This window comes from Homo sapiens, chromosome 20 (assembly GCF_000001405.40).
Source record: "Homo sapiens chromosome 20, GRCh38.p14 Primary Assembly".
In the NCBI taxonomy this organism is placed as follows: domain Eukaryota; kingdom Metazoa; phylum Chordata; class Mammalia; order Primates; family Hominidae; genus Homo; species Homo sapiens.
Window position 1 is genome coordinate 7,822,464 of NC_000020.11, and position 24,155 is coordinate 7,846,618.

Sequence of the window (24,155 nt, forward strand, 5' to 3'; positions counted from 1 at the left end):
TTATTTCTAAAATGTGCAAGCTATTGATACAGGTTAAGAAGAATGGCCATTTTCATGCAATATGGTATGAAATGTTTTCAGAAATCAATTTGTCTAGAAAATGATAAAACTTACAAATGTGTCCTGATGTTTATTCATTTAGCAAATAATTTATTGAGTGATTATTATGTGCCAAGCACTTTGTAAAATATCTACCTCTCACAGTGGTTATGATCTGTAAGACAAGATACACATTACAAAAAATATAGGCATACTAATAAAGTAAACAATGTAAAACTGCCATTTTGGCAAGCACTGAGAAAGATCTATGTGGACTTAAAAGTGCCTAATAAAGGTAAATTGGGCAGTCCCAGAATTTTGGGAAAATTTTCTAGGGTGCAGTAAGCCTTAAAGAATTGAGTAAGTAAATGTTTACTAGTAAAGGAAGGGAAGTGGCAGGCAAATGTAATAATATGTACAAATAACATAAGGAAGGAAAAGGAATGAAGCACATAAAGGTCAGTGTATCAGTCAGGGTAAGCCATGCTTTGCTGCAGTAACAAACAAGCCTAACATTTCAGTGATTTAAACTACCAAAATTTTTCTTTCTTTCTTCCTTCCTTCCTTCCTTCCTCCCTCCCTCCCTCCCTCTCTCTCTCTTTCTTTCTTTCTTCTGTTCTTTGAGAAAGAGTTTTACTCTCATCGCCCAGGCTGCAGTGCAATGGCACGATCTCAGCTCACTGCAACCTCCACCTCCCAGGTTCAGGTGATTCCCCTGCCTCGGCCTCCTGAGTAGCTGGCATTACAGGTGTGTGCCACCACACTTAGCTAATTTTTGTAGTTTTAGTAGAGACAGGGTTTTACCAGGTTGGTCAGGCTGGTCTCGAACTCCTGACCTCAGGTGATTTGCTTGCCTCAGCCTCCCAAAGTGCTAGGATTACAGGCATGAACCACCATGTCTGGCCCAAAGTTTTATTTTGTACTCACATTTTATAGCAATTGTGAATTGACATTGCTCTAATCAGCTCTACTTCTCATTCCTCTCACTCTGGATCCATTTGATAAATCAGCCTCTGTCTAGAATATTATCAGTCACGATGGTAAGAGGAAAAGGCTAAAAGGCCTAAAGGTCATTATGTTAAGTGAAATAAGCCAGGCACAGACATACAAACGTTGCATATTTTCACTTATTTGTGAGATCTAAAAATTAAAACAATTGAGCTCATGGAGATAGAGAGTAGAAGAGTGGTTATTAGGGCTGGGAAGGGTAGTGAGGGTATGGGGGAAGTAGGGATGGTTAATGGATACAAAAAGGAATTAGAAAGAAAAAATAAGATCTACCATTGAATAGTACAACAGGGTGACTATAGTCAAAAATAATTTAATTGTGCATTTTAAAATAACTAAAAGAGCATAACTGGATTGTTTGTAATACAAAAGATAAATATCTGAGAGGATGGATGCCCTTTTACCATGAAGTGATTATTATGCATTGTGTGCCTGTGTCAAACTATCTTATGTACTCCATAAATAAATATATCTACTATGTAACTAAAAAAAATAATTTTTTAAATAATAATAAGACTAGTCATGGGACCTCAACAAAAGGGCCCAGGAAATGCACTCCTACTAGGTGCCCAGCTGGAAGAAAGCCAAACTCTCAATGAATAGACTAATCATATGTCCAGTGTGGCTGGAACTGAGTGGAGGAAATATGAGCCCAAGTGAGAAAACCTGACTTTATTCTATAGCCAATGTGAAGTCACTGAAGGCTTTACACTTTCAAGAATTTTTCCTGAGGAGAAAAATTACTTAGTTATGTAACATTTAATTTACAAGCTGGTTTATCATAGTAGTGTTTATTAATTTTTTCAAATGGCCAATAAACCTAAGTATTCAACAGGAAGTCTTACTCAAAAGTCAGTTGCTGTATCTTTATAATAAAATAGGATATAACTAGAAGTAATGGGCTTCGAAAAAATGTGACATGAAAAACATATATTAACTGAAAAAGTATGCATAAAATGCAGTATAAAATAAGATCTACTTAATTTATCTGCTCAATATTTTTAATATTTTAAATATACATTTAACATATGTGCATCAAAACTCTTAGAAGTACTATATAGATTACATATATTTTATCAGTAATTATTTAAGCTAGAATCATGATGTGCTTGGGTTTTACTTTTGTTGTTGTCATTTTATTTGTTATTACCTGTGCTTTATTTACGTCTAATTTTTTACAAAGAATGTTATTCCTTATTAGTAGAAATTTTTTAACTGGCCAGGACTCTATTTGTGATCATTAAAAAATAAATACCTTTTCTCTTTTCTTTTTCCATTAGAAAACATGACTGCACTTTCTGTAGTCGCTTGTAAATTGCATAAAAGTTATCAACATGTTGTTTTTCTTCTTGTTTTAAGTCATCTGAACACTGAAAATTGTGTATACATTAGCACTAGCTCAGACGCAGCCTCTAGTAAGAGGAAGTTTAACATCTATTCTCATCTTTTCAATTGCCTCTTGCCATGAGCGGCCCCGCAACTCAGGTTCCGGATCCATTGTTAGTCTGAGACAATGAAATGGCAAGTTTTTACCCGTCCAAAGTAACCCAATATTTTTGAGATCACAATTCTAGAGACCAGTCAAACACTCCAAATTTATCAAGCGATAATGACTTCAGGAGAATATTCCCTGCCTTCTCTTTTTTGGCATTCTTTTGATTATGGTAAAGGATGGTTGTAACCACCAGTAACGATTCAAGAATAACACAGGATATGTGTCACTGATGCTTTAATAAGAGCATATATATTGCTGAAAAACAGGCTGCCTTATTGTATATTCTTACTCAATCACTGGACATTTTACAGCAGTAAATTCTCTGATTTTTCAAGAAAACATTTGACGCAAAAACTCAAACCATATTTCAGCTCTTTTTCAGCTGCCAAAAAAGTAAATAATCTATTTAGCCAGACTTTGCAGACATTGGCCAAATGTTGGCCTGAACTCTGAGCGTATACCTGGATGGGTTGATACATCTGACACAATTGGGTTACCACAAACTGGGCTGTACATGAAAGGTCTGAAGAAATTTAAAATTAGCCTGGGGTAGAAATATTCCACCAGAAAGAGTATTGGTGAAGAGGAAGATTTGGACTTCTTGTAGGGATTGTTTTGTAGCTTTGTCGCAAATAAGTATGTTTTTGTTCTTTAAAGGGGAAAAAAAGTTAAAGAATGAGATAAGAGTCTCATTACAATCCTTGAAAACCAGCATGTTGTTTATCCAAATTACCTATTTGTGAATTCCCATCCATGGGGACATTGATAAGTGCCATTTAGATCTCATGACTCTTCACTGTACTTTGTATATCAAGGGGAAGTTCTAATTAAGGTAATATTTTATAATAAAAAAATTGTTATTATTTGTTTTTTCTGTTGAGCTATAGCTGGTGCTTCTTCTCACCTAGAGGTCTCCTATTTTGATCTAGTGAATGGAAGTAGGATTTGAAATAAAATTAAGGTCAAAATATGAAAATATGAAAAGTATTTACTGTGCAAGTGGCAGATTATACTTTTTCAACAAAATCATCTTTGAAAGTACTGGCTAATTCCTGCTTGAGAGGTACAAGTAAAGCGGCAGCCAGGAATTCTAGGAAATATTCTGCAAAATATGTCCAAAAAAGCACCAATCAATGTAAAAGAAGTTAATTAAAACTTGAGTCAGTAAGAAAAATAAATGGTGGAAAAGGCAAGTCATCAATCACTATTTCTATTTTCTTCATCTCAAGAGAAGATAAAAAGAGCAGAGGAAAATACCAAGAAAGGATTCAAGTCTGATTAACTCCACCAAATATTTATTTAGAGGCTACTCTATAAAAACATAGATGTACTTCCTCAAGTGAGAAAAAATCTATGATAAACAAAGTCCTTTTACTAGAATCTCTAAAGCGTAATTAGAAATAGGTGAATCTCCGGTGGCTCACACCTGTAATCTCAGCACTTTGGGAAGCTGAGGTGGGCAGATCATGAGGTCAGGAGATCGAGACCATCCTGGCTAACACGGTGAAACCCCATCTCTACTAAAAATACAAAAAAAATTAGCCAGGCATGGTAGCAGGCACCTGTAGTCCCAGCTACTTGGGAGGCTGAGGCAGGAGAATGACATGAACCCGGGAGGTGGAGCTCCTAGTGAGCCAAGATCCCGCCACTGCACTCCAGCCTGGGCAACAGAACAAGACTCCGTCTCAAAAAAAAAAAAAAAAAAAAATTGGTGAATCTCAGCGATGTGATAAGAGTGGGGAGATCGTCAGCACCTCCTAGGGACATCAAGACAAATCCCGGTTGGGCTGGTGTCAGATGCTATTAAGAAGTAGTAAAAAGGCTAAAATCTAGTTATAGTAGCAGAAGTAGTGTTAGGGTATGGCCAGGGTCAGATATCAGGAGAACCCAAGGCCACATCAAACTCTAGTGGGCAGATGAGAGCAACAGTTAGGTATGAATCAAGGCCCTTAGAAGTTATCAAAATGAGTAGTACTGGAAACCAGCGTATATATACTGTCTTTGGTGGTGGTTGGAATTGAGATTCTGCGAAAAGTTAGGTCTCCATCTGGATGAGCACAACTTCATAAGGCACAACACTCCAAGTTTATCTATCACCAAACACAGTGATTAAATTTAAATGTTTATTTCTAATAGATATTTCTACCCAACAAGGCAAGTGTAGAAGCCTCCATTGTCTGAGCTTGTCAATTGCATGCCTGGTCTCATCATGGCCTTACCACTGGCCTAAACCCACTGAACTCTCCTGATTTATGTATTTATATTCATAATTTCCAATAAATTTCTTTAGCTTTGCATTTCTCATAACATCCTGTATATGTGTGTATAAAATTAAACTAAAAATCCTTTGTGATAGTACAAATGAATAATGTCAAGAAAGCTCAGATATTAACCCCAAACTTTTAGAAGATAACATCTACATTCCCTATTTCCCTTAAAAATCTTACCATCAGTAATTAACATAAAATCAGAGACTTCAAGCTGGAAGTTAAGAGGTCATCTGTGACAGTTTTATTAAATGTCCACAAATTTTGGACACTCTTTCCTTCAAAAGTGGGATTACATCTCTCTTTCATCCATCTTTGTGGGCTTCTGACTCACTTGCAAATGGTCAAAAGAGGTAGCACAATTTCTGAGGCTATATCATAGTGGGTAATGCAGCTTCTGTCTTGAGCGCAGGGACACATGCTTTTACTTATATCCATGAGCTTACATATAAGAACCCTAAATATCCTGAAGAAACTATAATGTGCAGAAGTTGAGGACACAGAAAAAAATCACATATACATGCTCCAGTGGCAGCCCCAGCTAATCTCTCAGCCAAGTGCCAGGAAAACCTGAGTGAGGTACCTTGGACATTCAGTCCAGTAAGCCTTCTTTATATGGTTGCAACTACAGGCAATATATAGCTGCAACTGCATGAGACACGCCAAGTGAGACTACCCAGGCAAACCCTTCTGAATTCCTGACCCATAAAAGCTAAGGCAAAATAAATTTTTAAGCCTATACATTTAGAAGTAATTTGTTATACAGTGATAGATAACTAACTGATATACCATCTAATCCAAGTCCCTACTCTGGGATGAATCTTTTGGATTAAATGACTCTAATGCAAGGTATCTTCCTTCACATTAGCCATGAACCAATAGTTTTGGACAACACAATTTTGTTCCTCATGTTAGACCAAAATCTTCATTTCTCTAACTTTAAACCAATATCCTAGATTAGCATTCTCTGGCTTCTTAAACATGAAAGCTTGCCACGTAGACAAAAGCACTCTGTAAATATCTCCTTGGTCTTTTCTCCTGAAGGAAAACAATACCCGTTTACTTTTGGCCTTGCCTCAAAAGATAGAATTTTCAAAATTCTGTGTGTCTTTTTCTGAACATATTCCAATCGGAGAAGTCTTAAAATATAGTGTAACGAGTTTGACACTTCATCCCATAAATCATCTCACAGAATTTGGTGAAATTGTCTTTTCTAGGGCCTCTATTGTGCTAGACACAATATTTCATTAACGCAACCCATGATTGTGCTGGTCTATTTTTTTAACAGCCACATCATACCATTGGCTTATTTTATGGTTGTCATCAAATGGAAATCCCAGACCTCTGCCATCTGTACTGTGGCCAAACAAGCTCACTCAGGCAGCTGACTTTCTGAACCTAAACAGAACTTGAAACTTGTTTCTGCTTAATCTCATTTCAATGGTTTTGGCTCAGTGTGTTGCTGTCAGTTGACGACTTTTATTCTTGAGTCTGTCACTTATAGTTTTAGCCATCTATGCATCCTCACATCTAAAACTCTATCAAAATTATCCATAGAAATACTGAGTCAACAGGGCTAAGAGTATAGCCAGTCAAACTCCATTAGAAAATTACAGAGCCATTTGCCAACACATAACAGGCATATGTTTAGACACTAAATATCAACACTTCTATCATTCAATCTACTATTTACGTATGATATTCTTGCAAAAAATACTGTCACCTGCATTGATGTAATTGAAACAATTGGTATGTATTTTATGCGTGGAATTTTCTGTTCTCTAGAGATTCTAACAAAATGAGAAATCATGTGAATTTGGCATGATTTGTCTTGAACAAATGTATGCTAGCTCCTCGAGATTAGCTATATCATTTTCCAAAGGTTCATAAACCACATGCACGATAATCTATTCTAGAATATTGTATTAAGCTGAAAAAGAAAAGACAGTAATCCTGATGATGTCATCATCACCGTTTTTGAAAGCCAATACATAATTTTTATAGTTCAGATTTCTATCAGAAATCTTCTCTGATACTTCTTAAAAATTAGCATGTAGTTATCTTACACTAGTAGATACTAAATATTTATTGAATGAACTAATTAATAAATGAATGAAAAGATACATGAATCATTCCATTATCCTGCCTTATTTTCTTCATTTCGACATATCACCCTATGAAGGTAATCTATTGTTCACTTTATTTGGAATTCTCTATCTACCCCTGCTTATGAGTATAGACCTTGATCTATCTCAATAATGTATTCACAGTGCCTAAAATATAGCCCAAGGCATAATGTACTCACTTCATGGAGACAAGTTAAATTAAGGCAAAATAATTTAATCCAGCTAGGGCTTAGGTCTCAAACTTTCTCATTACTCAATATTTTTTTGCCATATTCATTCTACTTCTTCCAGTTACAAAAATCTTTTCCTTAATGAAGAAGACTAATTCACAATAAGAGTTCCATTTTCTTTCTGTCATTTGTTAATGTATTTCCAAGAAACACTTAATTTATTCTTATTCTTATGCCCAATATTCTTTCAAAACTGGATGCTTTAATTTAAGTTCCCATGAAAGCAATTTATTTTGGAGGTGACCTCAGGCAAGAAACACTGGGAAGGAAGTTCAGGAAACATGACAGGCAAAAGAAGAATGAAGAGTTTAACTCTTCCATCCAGAACATTCAGAATGCCTCCCTGAATCTTCAGAATTGAAGTAGTCATTCAGATAGACCTCAAGAGGTTGGTGGTGTGACAAATGTTTCAGTGACTTCACATTCAAGCATTTTCCCCACTTTTCCAAACCAAAGTTATGTTCTCCCCATTGGCACCCTAGGGAAGACTGACTTCTCCCCAGCAGATTCACATATATTTAAGTGAAACATCTGTATACATCTGACTCTTATTTCAAATAGAAAGGTTCTCATTATAATCTTTTACATCTATTATTTTCCCCATTTTGCCATTGACTCATTATTTGTCAAAGAAATTCTTCTAGAATTATTATGCTAAAATTAGAGTACTAATATATGATAAATCTATATCAAATGTTCTAAAAACTTCATAATTATAAGTAACTATGTTACTATTGTGTAAAATAAGCATCAGACATTTAATGGCATGAAATATAATTACTGTTCTTCTATTTTAAATGAAAAATAATTTCAAGGTAGTATAATGTATGCTTATTTTAATAAAAGCATGTGCATATGTGTGAGTGTATGTGTGTGTAAACATAATTGATACAGATGGTAGAATTTTGAGTGTTTTTTCTACTTTTTTGTGATACTATAAAAGTTATTTATTTACTATACACAGAACATGTCCATGTCCCCTATAAAATGTACATGTAAATCACTAAAAAGTATAATTTGGTGAACATTTTCTCAATTACAGTACATACTTAATCAGGTGGGATGACAGCTCTCTGTCTGCCTCAAAATAATCTAATTATAGCACCCAGTCTTCTTTATATCTAATGCAAAGTTAAGTACTTATTTTGGGGGTTATTTCCTAGTATATGTTTGGTGAGGCAGAGTAAACAACTTAACTCTAGTATATTACAGTCACTGCACAATAAACCAGATTATTACAGATTAAAACAAATCATTTTTTCATTATTTATAATAATGGGATCAAAGAAATATGGGATACTTTTAAATGGCAGATAACCACACAATTACTTACCTTTGATAGTATATTGGATTCTATAATTACATTAGTATATGAATGATGAAAAATACTGTTATGAATAATACACCTCAAACAAAACAACGAGGCCACACTGTAATGATTCACTAGATCGTGCTCAACAGACATTTACTGAATAAGGAATTATCTATTTTTCTCCTCAATTATCCAGTACAATGTTTTGCCCACAGTAAGGGCTCAATAAATATTTGCTGAACATACTGACCAGGAAAGAGGTGAGAAGAGATGGGCCCTCTTAGCTGGATATTAAATATAATTGGAATTTACCTGGGAAGGAGAGTAGTTAGGAAGATGTAAATTGCATGTGGTGTACAAGCAAATAAACGCAGATGCCACCACAGCAAATGATTAAGCAGAAAACACTGGCACCAAAATAAACAAACGCAAGATTTGCCAATAATGGCAAAAATTGAACTTTTATATTGGACCATACTTTTTCCCACTCAATTCAGTTTAAGACAGACCAACAGAGGCACTGTCAGACACTATGGCTATCTTCCTTGATATTCAGACATCCTAGTTTCCAATAATTTATTATGGACCCATTAGCCATGAATCAGTATAAACCTATTTCTATTGAGGAATTAGTTTCCACAAGTACAAAGTTGAATTTCCTTTTACTTGTCCTAAAATGCTTACTTTCAAATTTGAAAGGACTTCAATTATTCCATGTAGTTTTCGATAATATTTTTGTATCTTTTCTGACCAGAGTCAAAATAGTTGTGCAGTCATCATACTGCAGCACCTTCCACCCACCCTTTGGTCACTTGAACTGCCTTTCTTTGGTTCTTTTTCCACTTTCAGATATTTGTTTAAGTGTAGTAAGCAGAACTGTACTGGGTATTCCAGCTGCAGTTTGGCCTGTCATTGTCAGAATGGCTTCTGCTATGCCGTGGTCTTCCAGTCAGTCTATTTCTAGATACAATCTTTTAAACTGTTATCAAAAGACTGACTTCTTGATTTTCTTTCATAACTTCAGCTTCTAGAATGTCCGTATCTGTCATAATCATCATAGTGTGAAGAACTGTACACATTCCTCCCTTCCTTGGCTTTCATTTGATTTGGTGTCTTCCAATGCCCTGGACAAACTGTATTTCAATCTGCCGTCCACAAATCCACTTTCTGTCCAAATTATGTAAAGCATCTTCAGCATCACAAACATCCTCAAGTTGACCATAAGCAAATCTTGGACGGTGAGTGCAGAAATCAAGTGGAACATACACATCAACTATAGGACCATAACGACCAAATTCACACTGTAAATCTTCAGACCTGGTGTCATCGGCCACATTCCTGATGAGGAGAGACGTGTTAGGGGGACACAAGTAGCAAGACATGGAGGCATCGTGTCTCGGTCGGGCACACTAATGGGCTCAGCAAACCAACTGTGGCTCTGGCGGCCAAGCGTCAGACACACACAGCCCAGAGGGCTCTGCCATGGCAATCCACCTCTTCTCATGAGACTTCACTCCTGGCTCCTACCTCCGTGCAAAGCCCGTTTTTTTTCTACTTTTAATTATCTATATGTCTGATTTTCTTTTTCTAAAATAAAAGCAAATTATTTTGTAATAAGCAAAAAATATTGGCAATTGGTATAAGCAAATGTACAAAACAAGAAAGCAGATCAAGTAAAAGATATTACTTATAGATGCCTAATGGCAGCAAATATCCTTACTTTATCAAAGAACATGCCACTTACTACTAATTACAGTAACAATACATTTTTACCATTTTTCCTATTAAAATAACATTAGAGGATCATAAACTTGTGACTGGAATTGGTTCCTTCTGGTGGGTTCTTGGTCTCACTGACTTCAAGAATGAAGCCGTGGACCCTCGCAGTGAGTGTTACAGTTCTTAAAGATGGTGTGTCCGGAGTTTGTTCCTTCAGATGTTCAGATGTGTCTGGAGTTTCTTCCTTCCGGTGGGTTTGTGGTCTCACTTGACTTCAGGAGTGAAGCCATAGACCTTCATGGTGAGTGTTATAGCTCTTAAAGGTAGTGAGGACCCAAAGAGTGAGCAGCAGCAAGATTTATTTTGAAGAGCGAAAGACAAAGCTTCCACAGCATGGAAGGGGACCTGCGCAGGTTGCTGCTGCTAGCTCAGGTGGCCAGCTTTTATTTCCTTATTTGGCCCTGCCAACATCCTGCTGATTGGTCCATTTTACAGAGTGCTGATTGGTGCTTTTTTACATAGTGCTGATTGGTGCATTTACAAACCTTTAGCTAGACACAGAGCACTGATTGGTGTATTGGGACTTTACCCCTGTCCTATAAAGATGTTATGCCCCAAAAACGAAGTGGAGGGCCATTCCCTGAGGGAGGGAAGGGAACTCCAGAGTTGGAAGAGTGATGCCTTTTGTCCTCACTTATATGAATAGGAAGGATACATTGTCTGAGGCTCCCCATATCCTACGTTCCGGAATAGCTTTTGTCAGGCCTGCTTGTCTGAGGAGGGTTCCTAAAATTCCAGGTAGTCCCCCCTACAATTGGGCTTTGGGCAAAAATTATGTCTTTCTGATTGGTGAGCCTGGGTGCCTAAAGAAAGGGATAGAGTCCTGAAGTTTATACTAGAAGTCATTCTTGCAAGAGAAACTAGAAAAGCACCAGAGACAGGGAGTGGTTTTTAGAAGCGGGACTAGCCTCGGAGAAGAGAGGCGAGAGGAAGTTTGTCTGGCAGGCATCAGGACCCAGGAGGCAAGGGTCAGGATAGATAGGATAGATGGGAGAGTCTCGCTTGGGCGACATGACTTTGAGAGTTCTGCTCAGGGCCACAGGGTCAACCAACTTGTTGTTGGGACTCTGGAGCTGAATGGCTTTCCTCTCTGTCGAACTTCAGCTCAGCCCAGAAGTACAGGAAAAGCAGAAGCTGGTTCCAGGCAAACCAACGCTCCCAACTCCGAAGAGTAGGGGGTCGTTAGAGAGCCCTTTCCCAGAAAACCTGACTCCTGTGTATTTAGTCCGGCGGCTGCGCTGGTCACTTTTAACTGGCTGACAGGTGCCAGGTATTTAGCCCCCAAATTCTAAGGAAAAATAGGACAGAATAGCAAGTGAAAGGGGTCTGATGGTGCTCACTGCTTGGCGATAGTTGATAGTCCCTTCATGGTCGCCAAAATGTGTCCAGAATTGGTTCCTACCAGTGGGTTATTGGTCTCACTGACTTCAAGAATGAAGCTGCAGACCCTCACGGTGAGCATTACAGTTCTTAAAGATGGTGTGTCCAGAGTTTGTTCCTTCAGATATTCAGATGTGTCCAGAGTTGCTTCCTTCTGGTGGGTTTGTGGTCTTGCTTGGATTTCAGGAGTGAAGCCACAGATATTTGCAGTGAATGCTACAGCTCTTAAAGGTGGCGCATCCAGAGTAGTTTGTTCCTCCCAGTGGGTTCATGGTCTCACTGACATCAGGAGTGAAGCCTCAGACTTTTGCAGTGAATGTTACACCTCATAAAGTTAGTGCGGACCCAAAGAGTGAGCAGCAGCAAGATTTATTGTGAAGAGCGAAAGAACAAAGCTTCCACAGCATGGAAGGGGACCTGAGCTGTTTGCTGCTGATGGCTCGGGTGGCCAGCTTTTATTCCCTTATTTGGCCCCGCCCACATCCTGCTGATTGGTCCATTTTACAGAGTGCTGATTGGTCCATTTTAAAGAGTGCTGATTGGCCCATTTTTACAGATTGCTGATTGGTGAGTTTACAAACCTTTAGCTAGACACAGAGCGCTGATTGGTGCATTTTTACAGAGTGCCGATTGGTGCATTTACAATCCTTTAGCTAGACACAGAACACTGATTGGTGCGTTTACAATCCTTTAGCTAGACAGAAAAGTTCTCCAAGTCCCCACTCGACCCAGGAAGTCCAGCTGGCTTCATCTCTCAAACTAGCACTACTTCACATCCATTTTAAGTAAAATTTAGGTTGCAATATTTAGTTTATCTCCAGTTTTTCTTAGATGTTCTACATCTCTTGAACAAGGTAGAGAACAAAAAAAGGTGCCAGGAATTTCTATTACCTTTTTTCTATACCCTAATTTTGAGCGTTTGTGCTGATTAAATACAAAAAATATAAATATTAGTGATTAAGTAAACCTAATAAATTCACTTGATTCAAACATAATAATTGATTTTAATAGTTATCATTGTTTTCATTATCATTATCACACCATCATAAGTAAGTGACAACACTAAAATATTAGAAATTATAAGCAGATTATGTTGGTGGTAGATTATGTAGAATTCTTCCTGAGCATATCTTATAGTAGTATCTAGTCACTTTTTATAAGATGAGCAAAAGAAATAAGATGGCAGCTGGCAGGAAAAAAAATGTTTTTGAAAACACCTCATCAAGTACCTACCACAGAGATAATTGTGCTTTGACAATATCTTAAAGTTCCTCTCAAATTCTAGTACAAAAGTTTTTGTTACAGAGCCTGAATTCAGTTACATCTTGGATATACACAATACTATGTGATCTGTTTCTTTGTTGTTTGTCATCTATCACTCCAAATGACACATATTTGGTGGTAAAATAGGAAGACTTTTAATTCATTATTCCAGAGATAAACTGTTCCCCTTACTGAGTTTTCCACTTCTCAGTTCATAACTTTACAACCTAGAGCAGAATATTTTTGTCATGTCTATAACCTTCCCCAAAAATGTATAGAATTATCCTATCAATATGGTAGCCATAATTTCAAATTAAATAAAATTAAAATTTCAGTTTAGCAATTGCACTAGCCAGATTTCCAGTGCTCAATTGCCAACTATAGCTAGCAGCTACCATAACTGGGAGAACGGTTTTATAATTCAGCGAGTTCTATTGGATAGTGCTGAATCGTATATCAAATGCTGTCCAGTTACTTGTTAAAACCTAATTTAAAGCTAAGATTTTAATAACAGTGTAGTTTTGTCATAACATTTAATATTTGGCTTACAAGGTAGCTGATGTAATTTAAGATAGAATTAAATGCAATTGTTGCTAAAATATTCCACTCTGTTGCCACACTCTAGAAGTTATCTACAAATATACTCACAAACAGGCTGCTTTACTGGGTAACCAGGGTTTGAATTAGCCCTGCAGCATTATTTATTGCTGTGTAAGGAATCATTCCAAAATTTAATAGTATGAAAAGGCAATAGTCATTAATTATCTCCTATGATCTCTATAGGCCAAGAGTTCAGGAGCAGCTAAACTGAGCAGTTGTGGCTCAGAATCTCTCATGAGGTTGCAGTCAGATGCCAGCTGGGGCTTAGCCATCTGAAGACTCAGTGGTGCTGGATGATCCATTTCTAAGGTGGCTCACACAAATGGCAAATTGGCTCCTCTCCAAGGGACTTCTTGAGTGTTTTCACAACATGACTAGCTTCTGGAAGAGCTAGTAATCCCAAATACTAAAGCAAAAGCTGATATACCTTCTATGACCTAGCTTTGGATGTCTCATACCATCACTTCTACCATATTCTATTGGTCACACAGGTCAGCCCCAAGTGATTCAGTGTGGTGAGAAGCACACAAGGACATGAGTATCAGGGCACAATTGTCAGTGGAGGCCATCTTGGAGGCCAACTACTACCCTACACTCAGCCCACAGTGTTTCTTGCTAGAGTATAGGGGTTAAGCACAAAGAGTGAAAGACATTACCAAGGAATTTAGTCACACTGTCTCGTGCCTGAACATAGATTTGTCTAGTGATTCCCCAAAGGAAGCTCCATGTTTCATTCACCCTTTGAGCTTTCCTCAAATGATCAAGATACTGGAACACTTCCTGCTCACCAGCCTTCCCCACATGAAACACATTTACCACATAAGGACAGGAAACTTTACAAAATCAGATCTTTAATTGTTTTGACCTTAGCTGCAAAATGGAATGTCTTGGAGGTCTTTTTTAAAAAATTACTGATACCTAGGTCTCACCAGAGATTGTAATATAATTTGTCTGCATGCAATCCAAGAATTAGAAATCTGAAAAAGACCCCCAGGTGATTCCAATGTTCGGTGACAATTGAGAACCACCAATTAGAGGAAGACCCTTCTGAATGTTCTTTTCTGTGACTCCTCTCCTTCTTTAAGTGTTTCATCATACTTCACAGCCCTTAGTTTCCAAATTCTGGCTCTTGTTTTTCAACACAATCCCTGAGAAAACTCTTCACTTCCCACAAAAGTTGGAGAATATCTTGGTCATTTTCAGCATCTAGTTACCTCCATTAACCCAAGATGCAGCTCATCTTTACAGAATCCCAAGGGGCAAAAACTGGTTCTAGTTTTAAGACCAGAGAAGAAAATAGAATGTTTGAATCCACTTCAGGCCTTGACTGTAGGATGCTGCAAATAATTTTCTCACTATTTACCTAAGAAATAACCACACCTTATCAAAAGGAAAATTAATATTTACCTGAAACAACACAGTTCTATCTAACATAAGAAAACAAGTTCCTCCTGTTAACAAGACCTTAACCCTGCTCCTTGTGAAATAATAAATAAATCACCTCAGCATGATGATGTTAAGGCACATCTGATCCTTTCAAGATCTGGCTTATTTTGCAAGAGAAACAACAGTAGTAGAAAAAGACTTCTATTTTAGCCATCTGGACTAGTGCTAGCAGTTCTATCTATGTGGTTTCAGACCTTCATAATCTGTGCTCTTATAAACAGAAGAGAGGTGTCTCACTTTATTACACCACATCATCAAACAGAGACACTCCATATGTCTATCTTCATAGGTATTTTCGGAAAAAAAAGATCTAGATATCAGCAATTCTCACAATTTTAGCTTGCATATGAATTACCTGGGATCTTGTTAAAATGCAAATTCTGAGTCATGAGTGGGAACCGAATTCTGCATTTTTAACAAGCTCTGGGAGACATCACGTTGCCAGTTCACAGACCACACTCTGAGTATCAAGGATCTAGATACTATAGATAAATAAGAATAATAACTACAAAGCACTTTTCATTTCTTCCCTTTGATCTCATGCTTGTCCACAGAATTAAAATGGTTTTATCTCACCTCTCCTCCCACTTTTTTATTCACAAAATCTATAATATTTAGAGAATTCTATTATTCTTATACTTTTCCTCTTTTTTTATTATGGCAAAACGTCTTCTGAACTTCTTTGTGTTATAAGAGTACAGATGAGTTTGTGAAAGAAAGACTGATAGGAAACAAATCCAAGATCCCACAAAAAGGAATTAAATCTTCTTTACCAACCAGACTAAATATTTCACAAATATGTGTTCTTCTAGAATTGCTATCACAAAACATATAGAACATAATACTTACAAAATGATTCATGCCTGGGAGTATTATGGTTACATGATAGTCGGTAGTTTACTGGCTGTATTGCTTTATTTTATTTTAGTAGCCAATCTATTATTCAGGTCTTTAGGACACAGGAAAAAAAATATGCTCATTAGAAACATAGTACCTCCTAGCTTTGGGGCGAGGAATCTATATGTAGTCTAATTAGCTATAAGAGATAGAAATTATGTTCATTGTTCTACTATTTCTTTGAAGCATTCTTTGTCATTATGATCCTGGGCCATTCCAGTGGATTATCTTCAACGATAAAACCAACTAAAATATCTTCTGGACCTTCCTTGTACATTAATACCAGTTCAAGAAATTACTGAAATATTTTGAATAGTAAATTATTGAGTTAATTACAAGACAGTGAATAAAATTGACACCTTTCTTTTGTCTTTTATAATTATAAAAAAAAGTCTACTGAAAGAAAGAGCAGAACAAAACATTGAAAACAACTGAAAAGACACAAAATGTGTCTTTGTAATCTTGGCTACTTACTACAATCAGGTTAAGCTTTTCAAAAATCCACTTTTATTCCAAAATTATTTTAACTATAAAAAGTCACCAAACAAATATGACTCAGTATTTAACAAATTATATCATTCTTAGAACTGTTAGGTTAAAGTTACTCCAAAATATTTCCAATTAAAGTTTCTGTAATTGATTTACATTTGAGCACATAGAGAAAAATTTACTCCCAAATTGCTATAAAAGTAGTTCGGTACCCAATGTATCACCCTGGAGAAAAAAAAAAAATGACTGTTTCTTTTGCCTCCATGGTATCAGGCAGTCTAATCCTACAATATTTCCAAACCTCACCCATCCCAGAATAAATAAATGTATGAGATGACATTGCAAATTGGACGCCCAATGTTCACAAAAGCTGACTCTTTCATAAGAGTCACCCTTACCACAATCTTTACCTTGGAAATTACATCTGAAGTGGCTGGATCAATCCCTTCAAGCAGCATATGTTGAAATTTTAGTCTAACTCCATAGTAACTATAGCAATGTTTATTTCATTACAAACTATAATAATGAACATAAAGAACTTTGGACATAAATATTTGGTAACAATAGTGAAATTTCCTAAATCTGGTGACTATTGTTCTATTGGCCCCTGGAAGGCCATGAAGAAATACAAAGAACAAGTAACGACATTCTCAGACTCCAGAATTGAAAAATGGCTTAATGGGATTCTTCCCGTTTGCCTAGAAGTTAGAAGATGTGGAATCTTGTCCCACTTTGTCACTGACCATTCTTTTGAATTTGAGCAACACAATCAACATAAATGAGCCTTAGTTAATGTATTTATGAAATAAGAAATGGTTAGTTTCAATATATCTGAAGTCCTTTACATCAAGAAAAATATAAATTGTTCAATTGTATTTTTTTTTTTTTTTTTTTTGAGACGGAGTCTCGCTCTGTCGCCCAGGCTGCAGTGCAGTGGCACCATCTCGGCTCACTGCAAGCTCTGCCTCCCGGGTTCATGCCATTCTCCTGCCTCAGCCTCCCAAGTAGCTGGGACTACAGGCACCCGCCACCACTCCCAGCTAATTCTTTGTATTTTGTTTAGTAGGGACGGGGTTTCACCATGTTAGCCAGGATGGTCTTGATCTCCTGACCTCGTGATCCGCCCGCCTCGGCCTCCCAAAGTGCTGGGATTACAGGCATGAGCTACCGCGCCCGGCCATTTAATTGTATTTTAAAGCAAAATTATATTGTGTGCCTTACCCATTTCCCCTTCTCCAATGATCTCATTCTTGATCTGAAGCTTTTTGGAAAATTTCAGCCAGTAACTCTGAATTATTAATTATACTCCTGGCCTTTTCTAGACAAGGGAATATACAATAGCCTACAAATGTGGTAAACAAATTATTAGTCAACAGATATTTACTGAGAAACTACTAGAGACAAAGTACTATATAAAACTAATTAGTATTAGAGCCTCACTGGAACCAACTATGGGGCATAACTGGTAATATTATTAAACAGTGAAGCTCCCAGGTAATGGATTAGAGTAGAGATACATACCTTAAAGAGGCAGGAGACTCTCCATCTAAGCCTGGATAGTTCCCAGAGGGACAGTGTTAGCATACTTGAGAAAGAAATGCATTTGATAGAAACAGCATTGATCAGCCTTGGAAGCATAGAGATATAACCTTGAGAACCTGTCTAGCACAATTTAGATCCACTGGTACCCCTATTGAAGAGTCCTCAAGGATGAAAGAGATATAACTATCAGGCTAAATTGTAACTGGAATTTAGTTCTTCCAACTAATTCCACTTTCATGGTATCCATGCCCACTAAACTACCATCTGATTCTAATTTGACATCCCACATATCTGTCACTGTTAAGCATGGAAAATATGATTTCCCTCGAATAAAAATAATAGATTTTTCTGACTGGGATTAGCAGCTCTTGGTGCACTGATAAATCTGTATTCTGAGCTTCTTGAAGTGTTGGCAGGAAGAAGGGGCTGTCTATAATGAACTTCGTATAATAATGCCAGACTTTCCCAAGGAAACCACACATCATAACCGGGCTTCTTTCCCCTTAAGCTTCAACACATTTATTTATTCTTTATCTCTGTTCTCTCTTATTTCTTCTTATTCTTATCCTCTTCCCTCTCCTTCAATTTGCCTCAACAAAGATAATGAACTGACGTGGGCTTGGGTTTTAAAAATATTTGGGATTAGACAGATGTTAGAAGAAGGCATTTCAAAGAGAGGGGCAATTAAATTGGGTTGGGGGATTAAGGAGACCAGCCTCAGGCAGTTTAAGGAGTGATGCTAAGTGAGGTGAGACTAGAAGCTTAAGTCATGTCCAGATCATAAAGATTTCCAAATGGCATTAAGGAATCTGGCCCCAGGCAGTTGACTGAGAGTTTTTAGGATTTCTCAAAAAATAAAGACATAGACCAAAGTTGAATTTTAGGAAGATTATGTATATTAAATACAATCATACATGAAGGAGTATGTGTGTAGTATTAACTATAAACTATACTTAACACAAAAGTACATAGGTCAGTACTTTCAACTTCAATCAAAGAGATTACACATTCCTCTTTAGTGAATGGAGGTAAGGAACTTGTAGAAAATGACTAATGTTTACTCACAAGGAGACAACTGGAAGGAGCTGGAGGGATGTGGGTATGTACATGAGTAATGGAAGGAGGAAAGAAAAGAAAGAATAGAGATTTCTATAATTCATCCAGTACCTTTCCTCAGGGGTAGAGTTTGGCTTTCAAATGACCAGCAAGTCAACATTGGCAGCAGCTCAGCCACCAGAGCAATATCCAGGAAGCTACTGGAATCACAGAGGATTTTGAAACACATGTGTCTGGATTTCAGTGTTATTCCTGAATAAGTCTGTAGTCTTCCCTCAACACCTCCTTCTGTGAGAAATGGAAACTCGGGCAACACAAGGCAAGGAGGGACAACTGGACACACCAGCTGAATCATAACATCTGGTGAAGACTTCTCTGCTATCACAGAATCTGAGAGATGGCTAATACTCAGACCAGCTCCCAAGAGTAGCTTTTCCTGCAGGAGGGTGCAACAGCCTCAGGATTTCAGCTCAGGGGGAAATATGTCTGTATGAGTAGGAGAGAAATGGAGTTGTGTGTAAGCATATGTTTGTGGTTTTCGAAGCAGAGGACAAACACAAAATCACATAGCCTCCTGGTCTGATGGGTTTCCCTGACTTGGATGTTTCAGTGATGCAGTTTGGCCCTAGAGCCTTCATCTGAGCTAAGGTTCCCTCCCTCCCTTTTTGCTTCAGCTCAGTGTTTTGCTTGAATCTGAGTCATAAGCTCCTTAAGCTGGCAGGAAGCGGATAGTCGGGCTGGCAGCTTGCTCTCCCCCAAGCAGAGGGAGTGTCTTGGCTGACACCTAAGCAACCTTTTCCATCCCCAGACTCTGTAACAGAACCAATGAGCATTAGAAGAATGGAAGGCTGGGCTATACTCACAGAGTAGAAGAGAAAAACCATCCTATAGAAATCCAATAGCTCAAGCCATGGTTTTAAAAAAAATGGCTTATGGAATTTCCTCAGCCACTCATGATGTCCTTACAATATTTTGTGTTTATCCCTCAAAGCTTGTCTATGTACACTCTCAACCTAGCTCCCACCCCAGCTCTACAGGTCTTTATTCTCCATCCAGTTTCTGAATGATTTTCCCCTCTAGCAAACTCCATCCTTCCCTCTACTTCTCCTAAACCACAGCCACTCTAACAGCTAAGTTCATACTCTGAAAGCTTGCCCTGTAGGGACTTAGAGCAGAATACTACCAAGTATGACATCTTGGCATGCTGAGTACTTTGAAATGGAGGAGATAGGAAAGGCCTCTGCAACAAGGTATCTCCAACCTTTTCCCTCTTTCTTCTGTCTTCTAAGACATGTCATAGAAACCAGATTCCTCTCCCAAAGGTGGGTCATAGAAATTAGAACTCCTCTACCCCAAAGCAAACCATAAAACTTAGAAAGGCCACATTCTGACTTACCTCCCTTGAAAGTAGGCCATAAGACCCTCATTCCAGAGGGTCCTGCCCCATATCCAGGGGGAAATAATGCTACACAGAGAGATCAGGAAGAATCTGAACAAACAGGTCTTGCTAGGGTCTCCTCTTTCCCCCAGTTTATTACCATTAGATCATACCTTTTTTGTCAAATCATGTTTCTCCACAACTATCCACTTCTTTCATTAGACTTAGCATAAAAACACACAGCTTTCCCTGGGTCTTCAGGTCTTCATTTCTGAAGGCTCCCATGTCATGTAAAACTTTGTTAAATAAATGTGTGATGTGTTTCTCTTGCTAACCTGTCTTTTGTTATAGGAGTGTTAGTCATGGCCTTTGTGATGGATGAGGGAAAGGTATATTTTTTTATCCTTTCGGCCCCCATTCATGGGCAAAGTAATAAGCTACAATCTGAAGGAATTAAGGAAAGGCCTCTCTCCTGCCCAGTTCCAGAAGTCCTGCTTTACTGCATGATGAAGAGTACAGATGTGATCAGAAAGGAAGGAAACACTGAGACATTATCACTCATTGATACTCCAGCTCCCATCAGTTGTCAAATTAACTTCAACAAAGATCAAGGGCACAAGCAAAGAAGGAATCAGATTTGGGGGAAGCAGAAAAACTAGGAGAGAAAAGTCTGGCATATGAAGCTTGTCATACCTAATGATACTACAATGTGGGTGACCTTGGAAGCTGTAGTTCAGGAAAAGGGAGGGTGGGGGTCTGAACACCTGGATGGAGAGAATCTGCCAAAAGAGCTAAGGGGTGTTGAAAAGTCATGGCAGAATGTTGGCAGCAATCCTTACCTCCTTCATAGTTTTTCCTTCCACCAACCTGATTACTTAAGTTTAGGACTGAGACTTGGCAGGATTTTTGCATGCAGACCCCAATAGAAAAAGTCTGTCTCACCCAAGACAATTCCAGCACTCTGTATGCTCCTTTCCCAACTCCTTCTGACTCCCTTGCAACATCCCACCATCATGTGCCTTCCCCTGGCCCTGATCCCAGCCTACTCAGACCTCACTTCTGACATGGGGCAAGACTTCAAGCCCAGGGCCTCTGGCCTTTTTTCTACCTGATGATTCTCTGCTTCTTCCTGTCTGCACCATTGCCTGATACCTTCTGATTGCTCAGACCAGAGCTCTACTGTCAATCAAGTGCTTGACCCCCAGAAGGCAGTCTTTGGCTTTCCAATTTAGGGAAAGTAAAAACAAAACAGAACAAAAAATATCCCTAAAATATTTGAAACAGGTTATGTTTGGAAAGTTAAAGCTGGTGAATGCTGAATGTGTAAAATAACGTCTCCCACTATTCTAGAGAGAACTTTGCAAAGCAGCTATAGTTCCTATATTAGAAATATATGCAGTTTTGTTATGAATTGAGCTCTTTCTTTTTACAGACACTGGCTCTTTGTTTATTTCAGATGTGAGCAGCTACACAGCTGCTCCCCCGTTCAATATTTGCAGCATATTAGTTATGAGAGATAACACTGAATTATTAATACAAATAATGTGTTAATACTGACCCACCTGTATGTGGAAAGGGCCTTGGAAAATAGTTTCTACGCTTATTTTAAAATGATATTCAAACGAAATTTTCATAGGGGAGAAGAGGACACACATTCATAAGCACCAGGCTCAAGAAAGTCCATCTCTTTTTTTCAAATTTGTTTAGATGAGATGTGCTCTTCACTCTTTCCCCACAAGTCCATTCTGAACATTTGAATGCCAATCTCCTTGAAGATAGATTGATCTTAGAGGAATTCAAACAAACTAAGATTTTGTGGCTTGGTGTTTGGGCATTGCAGACCTTATCTGACAGTCTGGGTTTAGAAATATAAGGAACAGAAGCAATCAATCAGAAAGCAAGAAACTTAATAACAAACTGGTAGGAAACAGAAGTGACTGCAGGAAAACTTCATTCATTCAAAGAGTTGAAGAAAGACTAAAATGATGAAATGTGACTTACAGAAGAAAGAGTTAGGTGAGAATCTAAATCTAAATTCTTAAAATAATTCTGTCTCTAATGAGATATGTCACCTGAAGCAGAACTAAATGTTTTCTAAAGTCTCATAATATGATATAATATCCCATGGATGATGTACTATTCTATGTTCCTTTCTGATTTCAGCCTCAGAGAGGTGATGCAGTCAAAGGGACATCGTTTATACAAAAATAAGACTCCTCAAAATAAATTCTTTATTTGCATTTTTTGAAATTCTTGAAGAGAACAGACAATCTCCAATAATACTTTAAAATTCCTCTTTACTTTTATCCACAGAAGACATAGAAGAGTTTTCCAAGATACTTTCTTCAAAATAGCAAAAGAATATTTCCCTCTAACCCTCCTACCTTCCAGAAATTGACTCCTACTTACTTCTGGCCCTTCACTGCTTCACCACTTTATTATGACAATTGGTTGGCTGCTTTTTTTGCTAATCCTTTCCCCTCTCCTCTCACATCTCAGATCCCATCCTTCTATGGTCATGCTCTGGTTCTCCATCACAACTGCCAGAAGGACTGGACTGACCCTCCTCAGATGACAGAACTGAAGGGAGCCAAAGTCCTATTTGTCCTACAGTGGATGTGAGAGACTGAACATGCATAGAGGAATGCTTTCCATTGTCATACCAGATCTCTATCGATTCCAATAGGGATGGCACCATGTACGAGAGGCTGAAGAAAAGACCAGGTCAGAAAATGAGACATAGAGTTTATTAAGGGGACTTACATACGGAGACAGTCCAGTGGCAGAGGATGGACAAGAGAACTGCAACCATTTGTAAAAAGCATGCAGGTCGTATAGCATTTTCACTTAGCAAATTCCACCTGGCAACCTCCATTTAAGCCAAACAAAGGCCCTCTATCCCCTGTATGGCCTGCATTCCAAGGATGGATTGGGGATTCAGATGTCCTTCATAGATAAGGAGTGGATCTCCAGGTTGGCCATTGCTGGATTCATTAGTCCAGGACTCTGAACACACTTTCTTCTTAGATCATAGGGTCCTTCTCCTAAGAAGGACTCCTAAGAATATGCTTAAGTTATTGCTCTCAGGTGCATCTGTCATTCACATGTCCATTTTGATAATGACTCATGCATGATCTTAAATAGAAATGATATTTTAAAATATATAGTGTATTCCAAAGGATTTTCCAAATAGAAGCCCTAAACTTTGATGAGTTATTGTGAAGTATTCTATCTTGAAGTAGGCCATATGGCATTCAATGAAAATTAATGCATTAGAGCAACATGCATTTGTGTGGATGATTCTCATGCATATCTTCCTCTCCTCCAATACTCTGTTGTTTGAATACCTAGGTCTCCCCAGACTTTCAGCTATCTCTCCTCTACCCAGGTTGCCCACCAAGCCCTGCCTTGGTTCTCTCCTCATGAGTCTGGAAAGTTTCTCAAGGCAGTAAGCTGTGGCAATTATAGGACTTACCACATTTATTTGCTATCGCTCAAGAATCATTGTTCTGTGGCACTTGGTGACCAACGTCTTAAAAACTTTTTTACCCATGTATTTTGTCTGATTGTTTGTTTGTTTGTTTGTTTTTGAGATGGAGTCTCACTCTGTTTCCCAGGCTGGAGTGCAGTGGCGTGATCTCAGCTCACTGCAACCTCCACCTCTCAGGTTCAAGCGATTCTTCTGCCTCAGCCTCCCGAATAGCTGGGATTACAAGAGTGCACCACCACGCCCGGAAAATTTTTTGTGTTTTTAGTAGAGATGGTGGGGCAAGGGTCTCACCAGATTGGCCAGCCTGGTCTCCAACTCCTGACTTCAGGTGATCAGCCTGCCTCAGACTCCCAAAGTG

At 38.1% G+C, this 24,155-nt stretch overlaps 1 pseudogene; it reads right to left on the reverse strand.

Moving 5' to 3' along the window:
• Positions 1–8,937: 8,937 nt before the first annotated feature.
• On the reverse strand, positions 8,938–9,931 carry SRSF10P2 (serine and arginine rich splicing factor 10 pseudogene 2; annotated as a pseudogene).